This window comes from Homo sapiens, chromosome 10 (genome assembly GCF_000001405.40).
Source record: "Homo sapiens chromosome 10, GRCh38.p14 Primary Assembly".
In the NCBI taxonomy this organism is placed as follows: domain Eukaryota; kingdom Metazoa; phylum Chordata; class Mammalia; order Primates; family Hominidae; genus Homo; species Homo sapiens.
In genome coordinates this window covers 112,001,005-112,019,940 of record NC_000010.11, presented here as the reverse complement: position 1 = coordinate 112,019,940, position 18,936 = coordinate 112,001,005, and the positions used below count along the sequence as shown (strand labels likewise).

At 40.1% G+C, this 18,936-nt stretch overlaps 1 long non-coding RNA gene across 1 annotated transcript; it reads left to right on the top strand.

Annotated features, from left to right (window-relative positions):
• The first annotated feature begins 11,895 nt into the window (after window positions 1–11,895).
• LOC124902501 (uncharacterized) lies at window positions 11,896–16,625 on the top strand. The gene is made up of 2 exons (XR_007062290.1): window positions 11,896–13,024; window positions 15,627–16,625. It is a non-coding gene; the product is annotated as an uncharacterized LOC124902501 (long non-coding RNA).
• The last annotated feature ends 2,311 nt before the right edge of the window (window positions 16,626–18,936 follow it).

The following is an 18,936-nucleotide window of genomic DNA, read 5'->3' as shown; positions in this document are numbered from 1 at the left end:
CCCCCACATTCATTAGTGTTGCCAGAAGAACCAAGTATAATTAACTTAGGGGATAATTCTCCTTAGGACCCTTGTGATGAATTGGGCATTATGCTTCTTGGGAGTTCTACTGGCCACTAGGCTGGGCCATTAATACAGTGACTAATATCATTGTTCTTGACTATTTTCATTTGGATTTAAGTCTTGGTCATCTGGAGTACACCTTCAAGTAGTCATTTAGACAGTGGTCAATAGCTGGCATATTTTTAGGGTATTGACATAACTAATTTTCTTCCCCTTGTCAGCTTTTTTATTTTTATTTTTTTGAGACAGGGTGTCACTCTGTTGCCTACGTTGGAGTGCGGTGGCACCGTCATAACTCACTGTAGTCTCAAACTTCTGGGCTCAAGTGATCATCATCACACCTCAGTCTCCTGAGTAGCTGGGACTATAGGTGCACACCACCATGCCTAGCTATTTTATTTTTTTGTAGAAATGGTGACTTACTATGTTGCCAGGCTGTTCTCAAACTACTGGGCTGAAGGGATCCTTTTGTCTTGGCCACCCCAAGTGCTGGGATTACAGGCATGAACCAATTAAAAATTGCACCCAGCCAATTTTTAATTTATCAATGATGTGGTTCCATTGCATCTAGAAAGCCTTAATGATGCAATAATGTTTAAGATCCCAAGTGTGGAGTCAGAAATATCTAGATTCAATACTGGTTCTACCAGTTATCTGGCTTTACAAGTTAATGTGCCTCTTTCCTCATCTGTAAAAAGAGGATAATGGGATCTGTCTCATAGGATTGTTGTAAGGATGAAATAATAGGATATCCCAAAACACTTGGAGAGTGCCCAGCATGTAGTAAATATCAATAAATATTAGCTAACATTTCCCTAGCACAGAGCAATATTTTCCTCCACCCTCAACTACAGGCTACCTAACTTCAACTGATTTGCCAGCCATCACCTGATTCAGCAAATCTATGATTTTGTAGCTTAATGATGAACTTAGACCACACCATGGAGAAGGGGAGGCACTTTTTCTTTGATTCAGGTAGCGGGTTCAGGAATGTCTTGGCTTCTGATGTGTCCTATTTTAAAGGGAAGAATGGGGGAAGGGTATAAGTTATCGATGATTATTACATCCCTTCCACAACTAGAATCATTAGAAGTTTTCCAAACTGAAGGCCTCTTGATTCTCCAATGTCCTGTACAGTCATCAACACCCTAGGACATTCTGGGACATTTTCTTTTGCCAAAGATCCTGTTGAGTAGCATTTTGTGTTTTCCTCCTTACAACAAATATCCAACGTCATGATGCTATTCCTGGGAGAAAATAGGCGCCAGGCTGCTTCTGAAGGATAGCTCTGAAATTAAATAGTATTAGAGTTGACATTAAGTTTGCCTCAATAATGAAAATTTGAAAACTCCGAAAGAGAAGCTTTGCTTCTTGCAAATATCTTGGCACAAACATTTAAAGATATCTAGTTCAGGTGTGAATTGGAAACTAACAATAGGAATAAGACTGGAGCACCTGCCTGTATAGTATAGAAATATGACAGGAGGTGAAAAAGAGGTTCTCAGGCCTGCAGTGATCCACAGAGAGTCTCTGTCCCAGTGGTTCTCAACCAGCACTGGTGACTTGTTGGGCCAGGTAATTCTTTGTCGTAGGAGATTGTCCTGTAAGATGTTTAACAGCATTACTGGCTTTTACCCTTTAGATGACAATAGCATGCCCCAAACCCACGCACCCTTGTATTCCCCAGTTGCGACAACCTAAAATGTCTCTAACCATTGCCAAATGTCCCTTGGAGGCAAAGCCATTCCCGGTTGAAGACTGCTAATTTATGCAAAGGTTTTCTGCTACCTTACACTGAATATTTGGTCCCTCTCTTGATTGTGGGCATTGGTGCTTTAGAGTAACAGTTGGTAATCCACAGCCTGTGGACCACATCTGTCTCATAGCCTGTTCTTATGAACTAATAGTTGTTTTTAAAGAAGAATATTTTACAATCAATTTGAGGATATCTGTCTTAGTCAGTTTGGGCTGCTTTAAAATATGTACTATGATATATAGGCTGGGTGGCTTAAACAATGAACATTTATTTCTCATAGTTCTAGAGGCTGTGAAGTTAATGATCAAGGTGCCTGCAGATCTGGTGTCTGGTGAAGGCCAGCGTCCTAGTTTGCAGATGGCGATCTTCTCATTGTGTTCTCACATGGCAGAAATCAGAGAGGAGAAGGAAGCTCTCTCAAGTCTGTTCTTATAAGGGCACTAATTCTGTCAAGAGGGCTTCACCCTCATGACCTTATTATCTCTCAAAGGCCATACCTCTAAATACTATCACACTGGAGATTAGACTTCAACATATAAATTTTGGATGAAAATACAAGCATTCAGACCACAGCAATAGTAAAAATTAACTTAGAACTACAATTAATCAAAATGTTATTCCTAAAAACATATTCTATTCTTTTAATTAGTAGACCTGTATTACAAAAAATTATATCCCATTATTATCACAATATATTATATAACATACTTCTAAAGCTCGTCGGAAATTTATAAAATTCGTGTTCTCTCTTGTTATGTAAACACTATCTACTATCTTTGATTTTCTTGACCCTGAGCCTAAGTATTTATTATCTGGCTTTTACAGAAAAGTTTGCTGATCTGTTGCTTTTGCTTTAGAGCATCAAATTTTAGTGAGCATCACAATCACTTGGTGGTCTTGATAAAACACCGATTGCTGGGTCCCACCCATCAGTTTCTAATTTACAAGGTCTGGAGTGGGGCCTTGAGAATTTGTTTCTCATAAGTTCCTGGGTGGGGCTGCTGTTGCTGCTTATAGACCATGCTTTGAAATGACAGTTTTAGACTAATCGTACTAAAAATGTTTAGAGACTGAAGATTTATTTTGTTTCTTGGTGGAATGGCTCTCCTGCTAACATTTGGCATGGAAACTGGTCTTCTTTTGGAAAGTGAAGAAATATTTAAAAATTTATTTCAAGATACATACAACGTATGCTTTTTGAGTATCTACTTTGCACTAGACACCAAGAAAGGGAAAAACCGAAGATGAATGAAAATAGCTCCTGCCTTGCCTTTATAGTTGACAGGTGAAGGAAGGAGGGAGGGCCTATGAGGGGTCTTCAAAAAGTTCATGGAAAATGCATATTATGAAAAAATTATGCATGGATTTTATTTTTTTGCACCAACATAAACTGGTGCTAATTTGTTATAACATGTCTGAACAGGATCTAGTTTGAGGAACTAAGAAGGAAAAGGACCTTTATCAGAGAAACATGAATTCTGCTAAAACTGAAGCAAGAACAAACATCAAATTTATGGCGAAGCTTGGCTGGGAGAAGGGTGAAATCATTGACACTTTATGAAAAATTTATGGGGGAAATGTCACAAAGAAATCAGCTGTTTACAATGGGGTAACTCATTTTAAGAAGGGAATAGATGATGTTGAAGATACAGCCCACAGTGGCAGCCCATCCACATCAATTTTCCAGGAAAAAAAAAAAATCTAGTTTATGCCCTAATTGAAGAGGACCAACGATTAACAGCAGAATCGATAGCCAACACCGTAGACATCTCGATTGATTCAGCTTACACAGTTGTAACTAAAACATTAAAGTTGAGCAAACTCTCCACTTGATGGGTGCCAAAACTCTTGTGCCCAGATTAGCTGCAGACAAGAGCAGAATTTTTAATGGAAATTTTAAACAAATGGGATCAAGATCCTGAAGCATTTGTTTGAAGAATATAACAGGAGATAAAAACATGGCTTCCTCAGTATGATCCTGAAGACAGAGCACAATCAAAGCAATGGCTGGTAAGAGATGGAGGTGGTCTGGTTAATGCAAAAGCAGACTGGTCAAGAGCAAAGGGCATAGCAACAGTTTTTTGGGATGCTCCAGGCATTTTGTTTGTCGACTCTCTGGAGGGCCAAAGAATGATAGCAGTTGCTTATTATGAGAGTGTTTTGAGGAAGTTAACCAAAACTTTAGGGGAAAAAAAAAAACAGGCCAAGCATGGTGGCTCACACCTGTAATCCCAGCACTTTGGGAGGCCACGGCGGGTGGATCACCTGAGGTCAGGAGTTCAAGACCAGCCTGACCAACATGGCGAAACCCCTGACTAATAACCTAAAGCAGGATGGCATAACTCCTGCACCAAAAGGAATGATCATAAAGAGAAGATGAACACAAAAAAGGACAAAAGGCTTTAGCACAGGACTGGACAGCATGTAAGCTGTGCATTGGGTGTGCTAAGCACAAGAGAAATTTGAAGACTGATCTAATCATGATTCGTGGTGGCAAGCGACAGAAAGCAACCTGAGTTAACTTGGGCAAAAAGGAGAAATCATTGAAAGACTTCTGAATTGTTTTAGGTCAAGGATTGACAGAGTTTTTCTGTAAAGGTCCAAATAGTGAACATTTTCATATGGTTTCTGTCCCAGTGACACAACTCAGCCTCTGTAGTGTGAAAGCATCCGTGGACAATTTGGAAGTAGACAAATTCCTGTGGCTATGTCCTAATAAAACTGTATTTACAAAAATAAGCTGACCAGATTTGTCTTGTAGACCCTTAGTTTACAGACAGCCATTTTAGATAATTCAAGGAAGTTTGCATAACCAAATAATAAAAGGGTCACACAGGCAGCCAAGTTCAGAACACTTAGAACCTGGGACCTGAGGCCCTGTAGGACCTTCTTTCTTTGCCTCGGTTGTCCTCAGTTTAAGTTTCTCCATTCTCATTGCAGACTATTGCAGTAAGCTCTCAACTCCCAACAGCTTGTACCCTGCAACTTCTGCAGAGGTTGGGGAAGGGGGTGCCTAACTTCCTCTCAGTTTTAAGAAGAAAATCTCAAACAAGGATTCTGATTAGCTGTCTCTGTCTCTATATGTATGTATATATGTGTGTATATATATATATATATATATATATATATATAGGTATGTATATATACGTGTGTATATATTTTTATATATATATCTATCTCTGATTTTGAAATTTTGGCTACCACCTATAAAAACATGCTTTATTTTTTCTTAATTGGGTGGAGAAGACTATATTGTATTATTGTGTAGGGTATTTCAAGGCCTTGGAAAAATAGTAAGTTCACTCCGGGTTCATGAAAATCCCACGTCATAGCTATCAAGTGGCAGAGCCAAGACCCCTCTGTCTGATTGCAAAGCCCAGGTTCTAAACCTCCAGAAACTTTCCCCCAACCATACTTTGTATTATTAGCAACATCATGCCATTAAGGGGGTACCATAAACAGGGCGATCACTTCAGGCCATCTGGGGAGCAGTTTGTGTCGGAGTGACATTTTCTTCCAGGAGTCCTGGGTTTGGGGCCTTTCTTCATATTAGGGTATTGTGGGACTGAAATGGATTGCTGTTCTACTTGCACATCGCAGAGATTAATAGCTGTCTTGTTCGAAAAGAGAATTAGGAGTGGCCACAATCAAGCTCTCCTGATGGTTTTCCCTCCTTGTCTCTAATGACTTCTCTGTCAGAGCTTTCCTCTCTAAATTGAGCCCCAATTTCTTCCATTGCACTTAAAACTGGAGGCTTTGTTCTTCCTCTGGAGGCAGGGCCTCAATTGCTCTCCTTTCTCAGGTAATAGCCCTTAATTTACTGAAAGAAGTTTTTTTTTTTTTTTTTTTTTTTTTTCTGTGGGGTTCAAAGATAGCTGGGTGCTTCAGTTTCAGTAAAACCTATGTTCAATAAAACTGTTCTTGGGAGCATTCCGAATGAACACCTTAGCTCCTGTTCAGGATTACTCAACAGAGAAAATGGCCAAGTACAAGAGAGAACCTCTAAATGTCATTTGTAATCAAGGCAGTTCTCTGTGCTACTTACCCAATCAGCCAACGAGAACTTTTTTCCTTTGTGTGCGTTTTAAATGGACCTCTACTTCTTTATGAAGATTTGGGGGTGGTGATGATCTAGACTTTGATGAGGACATCTGTGTTTATGTAACGTTCATATCTTTAAAAACAGGCTCTGAAAATACATTACATCTAAGGAATAAACCAGAACTCTATTTATCAGAATCCCCAAGGAAGAAAAAATCAAATGTTTTGGTTTTGATGAAAAATTAATAGAGGAAGAAAATGAAGAAAGAGAAATTAAGTGCTGATCCATTATGTTTTTCCACTCATATACATGAGGATGGTTATGAATTTTATCTCCTTGTTATCATCTCTCTTTTTGTCAACATTCTCCTCTCTGTACAGCCTAGCTAGACTGAAACCTCTGCTACAATAGCCTGTAATATAGAGCAGAATTTGATGTTTATCAGGTCCCTCTTGGGAGGCAATTGTTGTAGTGAAAAGTCAACAGGCTTGGAGATTGACAACTCTAGGTTAGAATCTGGCTTGGTGTCACTAACTGTGATGTCAGGCTCTTTACTCAACCTCTGTGAGCCTCCGTTTTTCCCTTGGCAAAGTAGGTGTAGGACCGTAAGGTCTTGGACCAGGTGTTAGGGCCTCAGTGAGAACATCTCTGAGCATGTTATCTAAGTAGTGTGTCTCTTCATTCTTTATTAGGTTATCCTATTTATTTCCTTGCACAATTGTTTCTTCACTTGTCATCTGCATCTCCAGGCTGGAGTGTACACTCCTGGAGGGAAGTATTTCATGGGTCTTTTCCAGTGCTGTAGACCTACCAGCCTAGACTGTACTTTGTACATTGTAAGCCTTATACAGAGTTTTGCTGAATTAGTGGTTGGATGAATGATTGAATACCTACTTCATAGAGTTACTTACTATGACGACTTTTTCAGGTCGTGTTTGTAAAGCATCCAGTACCATGCTTAATATACAGCAACATCTTGAAATAGATATATCTATGCAGTTTAGCCAGGACACCCACTCTAAGGGAGGTGGAGATTTAGTGAATTCTTATCATTTTATGTTGCTTCAGCATCCATCTTGAATACAGGTTTAACTTTCTTGTACCAGAAGCAGGGCTCAGTCACCCTGGACACAGTTTCCAGTTTTGAACCACATCCAGGTGGCTCAAGCTGGTGGCGAAAGATAAGAACTTAGAGGCATCTCTCTGGCCTAGCCGATGGGCTCCCTGCTTTTCTACAACTCCACTTAAAAGGACCATGCAGACATTTGCCCATGAACTTAAAGTGACCCACACCCTACTCCCTTAGATGTGCAACTAGTTACCACACACGCCCCTTCTCTCTTCCTGACTCTTCCTTCCTGCTTTGTGACCTGAGGACTCACGACACCCCCTCTGTCCAGGATCTGTAAGTAAAAATCTCTACACATGTTTCCTGTTGAGGTGGTGTATTGAATTCGTACCTTTCGTCTGAAGACTGGGGGGCTGCCCCAGGCCAGGTCATCCCTGGGATGCTGAGGAAAACACAAAGCTGGGCTCCCAGCATCAGAGCAATTGTCAGGCAGGAATAAACTGGACACAGGTCAGACAAGAGCCACAAAGGCATCTGCCAGTATAAACAAGTTTCCTCTGTGAGGGACTACCTGGTTGCAGTTCAGACAACCAGACATTAGGCTGTCCACTAGGTAAGGGAATATTTTGTGAAAGGCACACTGCAACACTCACATCCAGCTCTATTCATTTCCTTTTAGGAAAGGGTTGTTGGCTGCTCCAGTGCAGGTGCCCCAATTTAGCTGGGGGCTCTCAAAACGGGGGTAATGCTCACATGAGTCCTATAGGATGGATTCGCCCAAGGATAGTCTTGTATGGGGGCTCAGAGGCAGTGCTCCCAAACTCAGATTTCTTAAGTTATTCTCTATATTTCAGAAAATCTAGTGAAAGTCCTATATTTCGCCACCCTAAAACATCATGTATAGGAACCTCAGAAGCAGCTAGGGTGGTATTGTGGTAATCCTGGATCTTTCATGCTGCTCAACCACGCTGCTTGGTGGTTATCTGTGTCTACTTAATTTGAAGTAGAAAAATTAATTAATTGGACATAATCAGTGCTGCTTCTTTAATGAACACAACCTTTGAAAACTTGGTGAGTGGGCAAGGTAGAGGAGAATGGGAAATCTCCGTGGTGATGAATAGATTGGAGACCTCTGAGCTCAGGTGAGGGCTTTGAATCACAGACTCCCAGCAGTCTGGTTGGGCTGGGAGATCATTGAGTTCATTTAAGCTAATGAGCAAAAGGTATTGGGAAGAATGAGTTCAGAAGGAATAATTTAGCTAAGAGAACAAATTTCTCTCTCTTTGGTCCAGGTTCTTTAAAAGACTCAAATCTCGCAGTTAATTGTACTCCAGTTATCCATCTTTTGTGACAATTCCCATTCTGACTGGGAGACTGTTATTTGGTGGGGGGTGGGAGGGGGTCAGTGTCAGGGGAGGGTGAATGGAGCTACATCTGGTACAGTTGGTTCTTTCCTGTTCTCTAGCAGAAGTCTGAGACTATTCTCAACTTCTTTTCATGAAGAAGAATTAGCAAAAATAAATAAATACAATAAATGCTGTTAAAATTGTGACTGTGGTTCGGGGCATTATGACTTAAGTTTGTGAGCATGAATCTCTTCCCTATAGGAGCTCAGGTAAATTCCCCTTTAGGAAACAAAATGCTTAGAAATTTGTAGCTGGAATAGTTGAATATCCTTCTCTCACAGATGTGGGGGAGTACGTGAACCATGGCAAATTTCTTATTTGATGCTGAATTTTTCCCTTCATTATGAAAAGCACAGCTATAATGCCATAGTTATGAAATCCATAGAGCAAGGTTAATCCTTAGGTGGGAATTCACATAGGTAATAATAATTCTTGTTATCCCTATCAAAAACATCATCATATTTAAATACAATGCCGTTCAAGGCGTTTTTTGTGTGTATGTGTGTGTGTAAAATGTTTGGTATGGCTTGATGAGGACTCAAATATTCCATAGTAATCAAAGACACTTAGGCAATTTTCTTCCTGTAAGTAATTTTAGCTAAGAAATCAACCAGAGTTAAGTACTGCATATGGGCAGGAAAATAAGGTACTTTCGGGTTTATTTGTTATATGCTAATATCCCAGTGAGAAACATATTTTCAGGCAAGGAACAAAGGAACAATAGATGTTCGTGAAAATGTAATTTCCCAGCAGCATTTTACAATTCAAAGTTTCAGCTTCTTTTCATTTGTTGTTAGTAACAAACTTGGAAGAATCTTTTTTTTAAAAAATGTTTCTGAAGGTGCTTGCTTCTTTTAATCTTCAGTTTTAAATGTAGATACTGAGTGATTGCTGCATATCTTAAGATGAGATGAAAAAAGAGACAGTGATTATGAATCGTGACTTTGAGAGTTTTATTGTCTTACTTGACAGGATGGACATTTTATATATACAATATAAAAATATTTTATCATTTTATATATATAATATAAAAATATTTTATATTTGCTTATGAAGTAATTCAAGCCACAGGAACTGATGTAGTTGACAATATAAGTCTTTCCTGAGTAAAGGTATAGAGGCTTAGGTCTATGGCTATAATTTTCCTGCTTCATATATATATTGGGCCTTCTGCCCATGATTTTCTAAAATACTCTTTGATTTCTATCTTTTTTTGTTTTTTGTTTTGTTTTGTTTTGTTTTTTGAGACAGAGTCTCACTTTGTTGCCCAGGCTGAAGTGCAGTGGCATGATGTCGGCTCACTGCAATCTCTGCCTCCCGGGTTCAAGTGATTCTCCTACCTCAGCCTCCCGAGCTGGGATTACAGGTACGCACCACCATGACTGGCTAATTTTTGTATTTTTAGCAGAGATGAGGTTTCAGCATATTGGTCAGGCAGGTCTCGAACTCCTGACCTAGGTGATCCGCCCGCCTCAGCCTCCCAAAGTGCTGGGATTACAGGCGTGAGCCACCGTGCCCGGCATGATTTCAAATCTTTTCAACACATCTTTCAGTTTAAGAAATGTGTGCTGCTGTTTGAACACTCATAAACCTAGGCAACTCTCCATTTTACAGTTATCCTTATATATTATGAGACGGATTAAAAAGCATCATGTCTTACATTAAATATCACATTCTGTTAATAATTGTTTGAAAGAACTTCTAATATTTTTGCTTTTAAATAATTTGGCTTCCTATAATGTAACTTACTACTGTTTACAATTTAGCAACAATCATTGCAAGAATTCCTGAGTATGTGTTCATACTCATACAATGAGAAAAATCTAACCAATAAGTTGTTTCTAAAATTAAGTGTCAATTTTTAAATAAAATTAAATATGCTTATTTAAAAAGTTTGCATAATGTTAGATTTTGTAGACATTTATTTACATATTTATTAAATTCAATTTCACAGTTTTCTTGTATATATTAAAGCTAATTTTTTTCCAGACCTCAAACATTTCAGACTCAAAAATCTCTAGTTGTTAGGGCCTGTGCAGGACTTCAAACACTGTGGGCCACATATAGAGAGCAAAAACATGTACCTTTCTTGGTTAATAGGCAAGACCATTACAAGAGAAGTTTTGTTACCCTCAGAGTAACTGACAGTAGAGAATTTGGAGGCCTTCACTCTTTACTTCCTTTACCAAAGGACTAAGTTCCAAAAGATTTACAACTCTTTCTCCTTTCTTGGTAGCAACTGGGTTTGTGGTTGCAAACAGGGATAAGGTGACTAGCTTTTTTGATGATTGAACAAAATGTTTTCTTCAATGGTTAAATCCCTACACTTAGCTCTTATTACATATAATAAACAGCCATATAGCCAATAATCCCTCAAGAAGGAATCTTTGTTGAGTACTTACTAAATTCCAGATTTCATGCTAGGGGCTATATGGATGTAAGTAAATTAACTCATAAATACGTGAGCTCAATATTTTAAAAACTTTTTTAAAGATGAGGGAACTGGGGATCAGAAAAATTAAATATTATATCTAGGTCCTGAGATCAAGTAAAAGGGAGCATTGGGTAATATTCACACTTGTATAGTTATCTTGTTTTCTATTTTAATTTGATTATTGCTGGCATAAGAGACTACTCTCTCATTATTCTAATAATTTTGTCATTTTTCTCTTGGGTTTCCTTTTGGGATGATCATGTTGACTTTAGATTATGATATTTCTTTACAATCCTTACACTTCCCTTTCCATTTTTTGTTTTATTATTTTAGTTAGGTTCTGCAAAACAATGTGAAATAGAAGCTATAAGAATGGACATCCTTTCCTGTTTCCTAACTTTAATGCAAATGCTTTTAAAATATCACTATTAAGTAATGATAGTTGATACAGGATTTTGGGAAATTAGCATTATCAGATCTAAGAAGACTGATTCGATTCCAAGTTTGCTGGGATTCTTTCCTAAAGATAAGATTGAATTTGTGAATGCTTCCTTTGATTTGTTCCCATGTATTTATACATATTTATACATGTATATATGTATACATGTACGGAAGAAAGGACTAAAGACTTTGAGAAATTTCATCTTCATCTTTGTATAATCTTAAATATTTTACCTTAACAAGTAGGTCTTATTTATTTTGCTATGTCCAGTTGGTAAAAACGAAAGCAAACAACTAAACCTTTTTCCCTCCTTCTTTGAGCTGTTTGTAGGAAGGGACAATGTTATAGCCATCAAGGTGAAATAAGGCTGCCGGGCGCGGTGGCTCACGCCTGTAATCCCAGCACTTTGGGAGGCTGAGGCGGGAGGATCATGAGGTCAGGAGATCGAGACCATCCTGGCTAGCACGATGAAACCCCATCTCTACTAAAAATACAAAAAATTAGCCAGGCATGGTGGCGCATGCCTGTAGTCCCAGCTACTCGGGAGGCTGAGGCAGGAGAATGGCGTGAACCCGGGAGACGGAGCTTGTAGTGAGCGGAGATCGCGTCACTGCTCTCCAGCCTGGGCGACAGAGCGAGACTGCGTCTCAAAAAAAAAAAAAAAAAAAAAAAGATGAAATAAGACTGAGCTTGTTTTTATCTCCTGACACACTCCCAGCTTCTTGAAAGCCCCCTGCAGACTGCAAGCCATAGGTTTGATACTTTGCACAGCTCTTCCCCTGGTGCTTCCAACTCAGGACATTGGGGCCAGCTTGTCTCTGAAAAATCAGGCTTTTATAAGAAATCTCAAGGCAAAAGGCTGAACTCTCTTGGTGGCTCCCAAGCACAAATAACTTTCTTATGTGAGTTTTTCACGTTTTGCAATTGGGGTCAGAGGAAAACAGTTTCCATTCTACGTGGCTCTGGGTGGCGTAAGCCCCACTTCTAGTCCTAGCTCTGTCATTTCATTCCTCTAGACCTCAGTTACCTCTTCTGTAATGTAAAGTGATTGAATCCTACAAGGCACTGACATTTGGACTCTTGTTTCCAGGAATCGCAGGGTGCTTATAGCTTTCACCTCTCTGCCCTCCTTTCCCATTTATGCCTCTCTAAGGATGTCTAAATACGAGTCCAGACACTTATCATGTGTTGAGCATAAGTGTGCCCCTCTGTTCAGATCAGCCTGCACGATGGACATGAGAACAAGGGATGTCATGACTACTTATTTGCCAGTGAAGGAAGGCACTTAAAGTGGCTTAAGCAATAATGGGGATTTATTGGCTTGTGTAACTACAAGTCCAGGGAGTGGAGAGTCTTCATGTATGACTTGATCCATGTGCTCAAAGAACGGTGTGAGGAACGGGTCTCTTTCCTCTTCTCCCTACCGCTTGGCTCTCCTCAATTTGGCTTCATTCTCAGGCAGCATTCTCCATGCTGGCTTCAGTTTGCATTATAACTTCTGCAGAAAGAGAGCTTCTCTTTCCCGAAATCTTGGGTTGGCTTTAATTATCTCAGCTTGTGTCACATACTCTATATCAGTCAGGACCCTAACAGGAAATAGTTCACTGAAATTGGATGCTTTGAGGAGACTTTAATTAGGGACTGTTCTCAAATACGTAGGCAGTGTGCAGAGAAACCACAGAGAACGGAGGCACCCTGAGGCTGTAACACTGGGATTCTATTATTATTCCTAGGCACGGAAACAGAAAGAGCTGTGTGGCCAGGACTGTCTGATGGACTGCAACCTTCCTTTGAGGGCTGCATTTACCCACGGTGAATACATAGCTTACTCGACCTCCTTCCTCCCTCTGCTCTTTTGCTAGTGTTTGCCAACGGCAGACTCTTAACTGGAAGCCAGAAGGTAAGGGAGCTCACTGATGAAGCCTGCACTGGTCAACTTTTTGGGCATAGAGCAGAGTGAGAGAGTGGATCAGATGGGAGATATCCATCCCATGCACATTTCTGAACACTGCGGTTCCTGCGGCTGAGGGAAATTAGTGTGTCATTGGTTAACCAGGGATGGAGCTGACAATGAGGCCAGGCTTATCTCAACTAAATGAGCTGTGTGTGTGTGCACATGTGTGCATGTGCATATCACAGCAGACCTTCATAACAGACCTGTCATGTGAGTGCAGTTATGTTTCCCAGGTCATCAATAAGGCAACTGAAACAAGCATGGTTAGGTCACCTACCCAAGGTCACAAAGTCTCACAAGCTTAGTAAGTATGAGTCCACTGCTTACTTACACAAATGAGGATAAGGAGAGACTATCAGAGTTTCAGGGAAACCAAGAGGGAAGCAGCGAAGAGACACTTACAATGGCAAAGAAAAAAATCCCTGGGAAATTGCTGGTTGTCCTGAAAATACATCATGGTGTGTTACCAGTTAAAGAGAGAGAGGATCCTGGGCTGGAAAAAATAGCAGGAGACCACCATGGGGCAAATGCATTTCTCTTGACTTGTGCTTATTCTAACCAGGCTTGAAGACACACTGATACTTCTCCTAGGTCTTCTCCTGGCAAGACTGAAGTGAACCCTGATTGGCCAAGGTGGCCCTGGTTGCTGAGGCTCAGCCTCCTCACCTTATGTGGATTTGTTCATGACCCCCAGTGCAAAGTTCCCTGGAAAACATGCTCCCCATGCTGATGGCTTGGCCTGATCCACAAGCTTCAATCTGAGTTGACCTTTGGCTCCCCATTGGCTGCCACCAAGCCTTGCCCCTTCCAGGCCAGTGTGCGTTGTTCTTCTCCCATCATTTGATACCCAATTCCAGTTCTTTCTCTCCATCCCCAATTTTAGACCAGATAACAACTTTTAACTGTTTTCCATTCCATGGGCTATTTCTCATTTAGGTGCTCAGATCCAGAATCCCAGTGATCCGTAATAAAGCCAAATTTTTGAGCTAATTGCCTTTGAGGATGCTACTTTTCTGTTGGTGCTGCAAGATGGAATTTTAGAGACTCTAACTCTAGGCAGCTCCCCTTTCTCCTCACTTCCCCCTTCCAATATCATGCGCTCTCCCAGGGCTCAGTAAATTACACTATCACAGCCCACCCTGCAGTGGTCACTTGGCAAAGAAAGGTGCTTCTGATGGTGGTCGCAGAGGAGTGTCACAGAGGAAAGGCAAACAGGAAGGGAGAGAAGACCATGGAGAGAAAATATTCTTTAATTCTGAGCTTTGTTGATGTAGAAACTTCAAACTCTAGACCAAAAAGTTCCCCAGAATCTTACCAACTTGTACCCCATTCTCCTCCCTGTCCTTTCTCCTCCTGGCATCCCCCACCAGGGAGGAACAAATGGGAATTGCGCACTTAAAGAACATGGGGAAAAGGAGACATTCTTTCTCAGGAAGACAGCAAAACCCCTGTCATTATTGACATAATGCACTGAGTATGTATCCGTAATACAATCATAAAATATTCTGTCTTAGGAGAGAGCCTGTGTGCTTGCTGCACTTGTTGCTATGGCAGCTGGACAGTTTTAATAACTGCAAATCACAAGTCTTTGGCTCATAGGGTCTTTTTTTTTTTTTTTTTCCAGGACCAGCAGTAATTTCCCAGGGACGTTTTTTCTTTGCCATTGTAAGTCTCTCTTGGACTGCTCCCCTCTTGGTTTCTCTGAGACTCTGATAGTTTCTCTTTACCCTCATTTTATAAGTGAACAGTGGACTCATACTTACGAAGCTTATGAGGCTTTGTGACCTCGGGTAGGTAATGTAGCTGTGCTTGCCTCAGTTGCCTTATTTATGACATGGGAATCTAATTGCACCCACGTGATAGGTCTGTTGTGAAGATTAAGCGAGATAATGCAAACAAACTGCAGAGCACTGTGCCTGGCGTTAGAAAATGTTGCTTCTTATTATTGAAAAAGGAAATATGGATTACGGGGATCTTATAACAGGCAGGAGGAGTTCAGGCCCTGTGATCTAGCCCTGAGAAGGTGGATAAGCACTTGGTGTTCCTTTGCTTCATTGCTTCTCCTGTTTCCTGATCCTATGCCTGGGTTAACTCTTGCTTTGCTGGACTTTCCTCTCTCTGCTGTCTCCAACGGGATGACAAAGATAGCGGCAGATGCCATGAGGACGAGGCCTGTGGCTCAGATCTTCTTTGGATCCCCCAGGGCCCCTCACAGGATGTTTTGCACATAATAAGTGCTCAGGAAGTGTCTGTGTGTTGATACCTGCATGGGGAGGGGGCCACTCCAAAAAGGGAAAATGCTACTGAACACCTGTCTGGAGGTGGGAATTTACATGAACGATTCTGGCCTCGCAGGGAAATTTTCTCCCAGTCCTCTCTGGCTCCCATTTTCCTTTGGTCAAAGTTCAGTTACCAGCAGCCACCTCTTCACACCTTTGGCTTTTGTCCACTTGACTCCAGCAGCCATTCAGGAACCAGAACCAGCATGCTGCCTGGTGCTGCATTCCATCCATTCCCTGTTTCAGCCCAGGTGGAGGACTGACAAGGAGAAGGAAGGAAGGGGAAGACTGAGAGGACACTCGAGAGGTCCAAAGCTGCACTTTGTCTTTCGTCTTCTGCTTTTTCCTTTAGTTAACACATTATTTGTAAGTAATAATGTACTGCATTAAGTAATTAAGTAATGAATGCATACAGTCCTCATATATTGCATCGGTACAAAAGTAATTGTGATTTTTGCCATTACTTTCAATGGCAAAAAGAGCAATTACTTTTGCACCAACCTCATATATGTATAAAAGTATTCAAGCAAACAGAAAAAAGTATGACTTCTCTCTCTGAAGGTCATTGCTGTTATCACATTAGCATTTATCCAGATGCTTTTATTTATTTAAATGTATACATACACATACACACATAGAAAGAAAAATGTGCCTTTGTGTTTTATGCATATTTTATCTAATAAATAATATTATTCTGCATTTATTGTTTGTAGCTTTTTTTTTCTCCTTAGTTATATACCTTACCATGTTGGCACTCAATCTTTTTACCTGCTACATGATAGAAGTTTGTAGTATCATTATGCTACATTTCATTTAATTAATCTTTTACTAATGGAGACTTAGGTTGTTTTTATTTTTCTTTATATAGTGAGCATTATAAAACATGAATTGTTATACATAGGTACTTGTTTTTCTCCAAGACAAATGCCTTTTCACTGGTATTGCTGGTCCTTTAGGTAAGTTTTCTTTTATACTGTTTGCTAAAATATTATTTTCTTCATTAAAGTCTTAGAAATTTTTGTGAGCTGTATTCTTAGCTAGTTTCATAATTTCTATTATGAACAAGAATCTGTTATTCTGTTATATTTTATAATGCATTGTCTTTGGTGTATAGGAAAAGCTATTGTTTTTTTACTTTATTTGTATATTTTTTAAATAAAATTATTTTATTTGTTGTAGAGATGGGATCTTTTTATGTTGCCCAGGCTGGTCTCAAACTCCTGGCCTCAAGCGTTCTTCCCGCCTTGGCCTCCCAAAGTGCTGGTGTTACAGGTGTGAGCCACTGCACCTGGCCTGTATTGATTTTTGAGTGCTGATCTCACTTTGGATCACTTTGCTGAAAGTGCTTATGAATCCTAAAATCTTTTTAGATCTTTCAGTTAAATTGTATTATCTGCAAAAAATGATAATTTTTATCTTCCTTTCTAATTCTTATATTGCACTTCTTTTTCTTATCTTATTGCATTTGCAATACTATTTACTCAAAGTTTGTCCAAATCTTCACACCCTTAGCCTTAGGGGAGAAATATCTCACAGGAATAGTCAGGAGCATACAGATTTACTGATATTTTATGGTATTTCTCAGGAGTAGTTTTTCTGCCATAGGAAATGACTTGATGATTAGAAAAAAATCGCATGAGGGCGGATTTCAAGGGAGACATAAAGGTTCTTGCCCATTGCCCTGAAAAAAATTAATGCACTGAGAATAGCAGGCGGTGCAGCAAAGAAAGAATTTAATTATTGAAGGGCCAGCCAAGCAGGAAGATTGAAGACATTTCTCAAATTTGCCTCCCCAAGAATTCAGAGGCTAGGGTTTTTAAAAATACTTGGGGTGGCAAGGGGGGACTGGGGAACTGAAAGAATTGATTGGCTGCAGATGAAATCACAGGCTTAGACAGATAATTGATTGGCTGTAGATGAAATCACAGGCTTAGTCAGTTTCCAGGAGGGGGTCGCAGGACCGGGTGGCATGTCTTGATCTGCCAAAATGTTACATCTGAAAAATATCTCAAAGCCCAGTAGTTGGGGAAGTTGTAAATCCTGTGACCTCTGGTTATGTGACTCTGGGGCAGTCAACCACTTATAGAGAAGCAAGCTAAGCATGGTAGGTTATTGTTTAACTATGCTTATTCTTTAGCAAAGTTCATGCCCCTACCGTAATTCCAGCCTTGTGATCTTTTGTTAGTCTTTACAAATACAGTTTCAATTTTTGAACAAGGAGGGAATTAATTCAAGGAAAGGACTATTATGGCTTTGCACAAGAATAAGCAAAGGCAATTTAGCCCAGTAGAAGCCAGATGGAGTCAGTTATGTCAGATTTCTCTTACTACTATAACTTTTGCAAGACAGTTTCAATAATGGAAAAGAAGACTGGAATGTTCTTTCAAAAGCTATCAAAAGGTGATGTCAACAATATCCACTAACAAAGGAATTAGGCAGCTCTTGTAGATGTGAATATGGGTGTTCTTTCTTTTTTTTCTTTTTTCTTTCTTTCTTTTTTTTTGAGACGGAGTTTCACTCTTGTTGCCCAGGCTGGAATGCAGTGGCGCCATCTTGGCTCACTGCAACCTCTGCCTTCCGGTTTCAAGTGATTCTCCTGCCTCAGCCTCCTGATTAGCTGGGATTACAGGAACCCGCCAACACAGCACACTAATTTTTGTGTTTTTGGTAAACATGGGGTTTCACCATGTTATCCAGGCTGGTCTCAAACTCCTGACCTCGCGATCCACCAACCTTTGCCTCCCAAAGTGCTGGGATTACAGGCATGAGCCACCACACCTGGCCATATCTAGGTTTTCTAACAGCTTTGTCTTGTGGCACAGGATTGTCTTTGACTTGTGGTTGGAGATTTTCAGACTTAATGACAAGTTGTCAAAGGATCACACCCAGATAGATCTAACTCAACTCTATCTTCACGCCTGTGAAGGTGACAAGCTTCTATGCTCCCAACCTGATATCCTAAGTGTTTGCAATATTTCAGACTGGCTCCATGGATCCATTCACTCTCTCCATCACCTCCCGTTTTGATGAATGTTCATAGCCTATGCTGCAAGGTAATATCTCAGGTTGAGTCTCAACAATGGACTCAGACAAGCTGATTGGATATAGAGCTACTCCACACCTTTGACTCTATAGCACAAATTTCTGAATTATTTATTTAACCAGGCTAATGATGTGGGAATGGTGGAAATCAATATAATGAAGATCAGAAATTCCCCAGTGTGGACATGTCTTTTTTCATAATAAGATCATTGAAGGACACTCCACATCATGCCTCCTTGTATTTCGGTGATCACTAATTGCCTTCTGCAAAGTGCTTCAAATCACAGCCCCCTTTGCAAATAGATTTTTAAAGTTGCTCAGTCTCAGAAAAAGTTGGACTCTAATTTAGTGCTTTAATATTGCTATGCTTTGTGTGGAGGCATTTAAAAAACTTTTATTATTTTACATGAGAAATCTACCCCTGGAGTTCAGTGATATAAAGAAGTTAC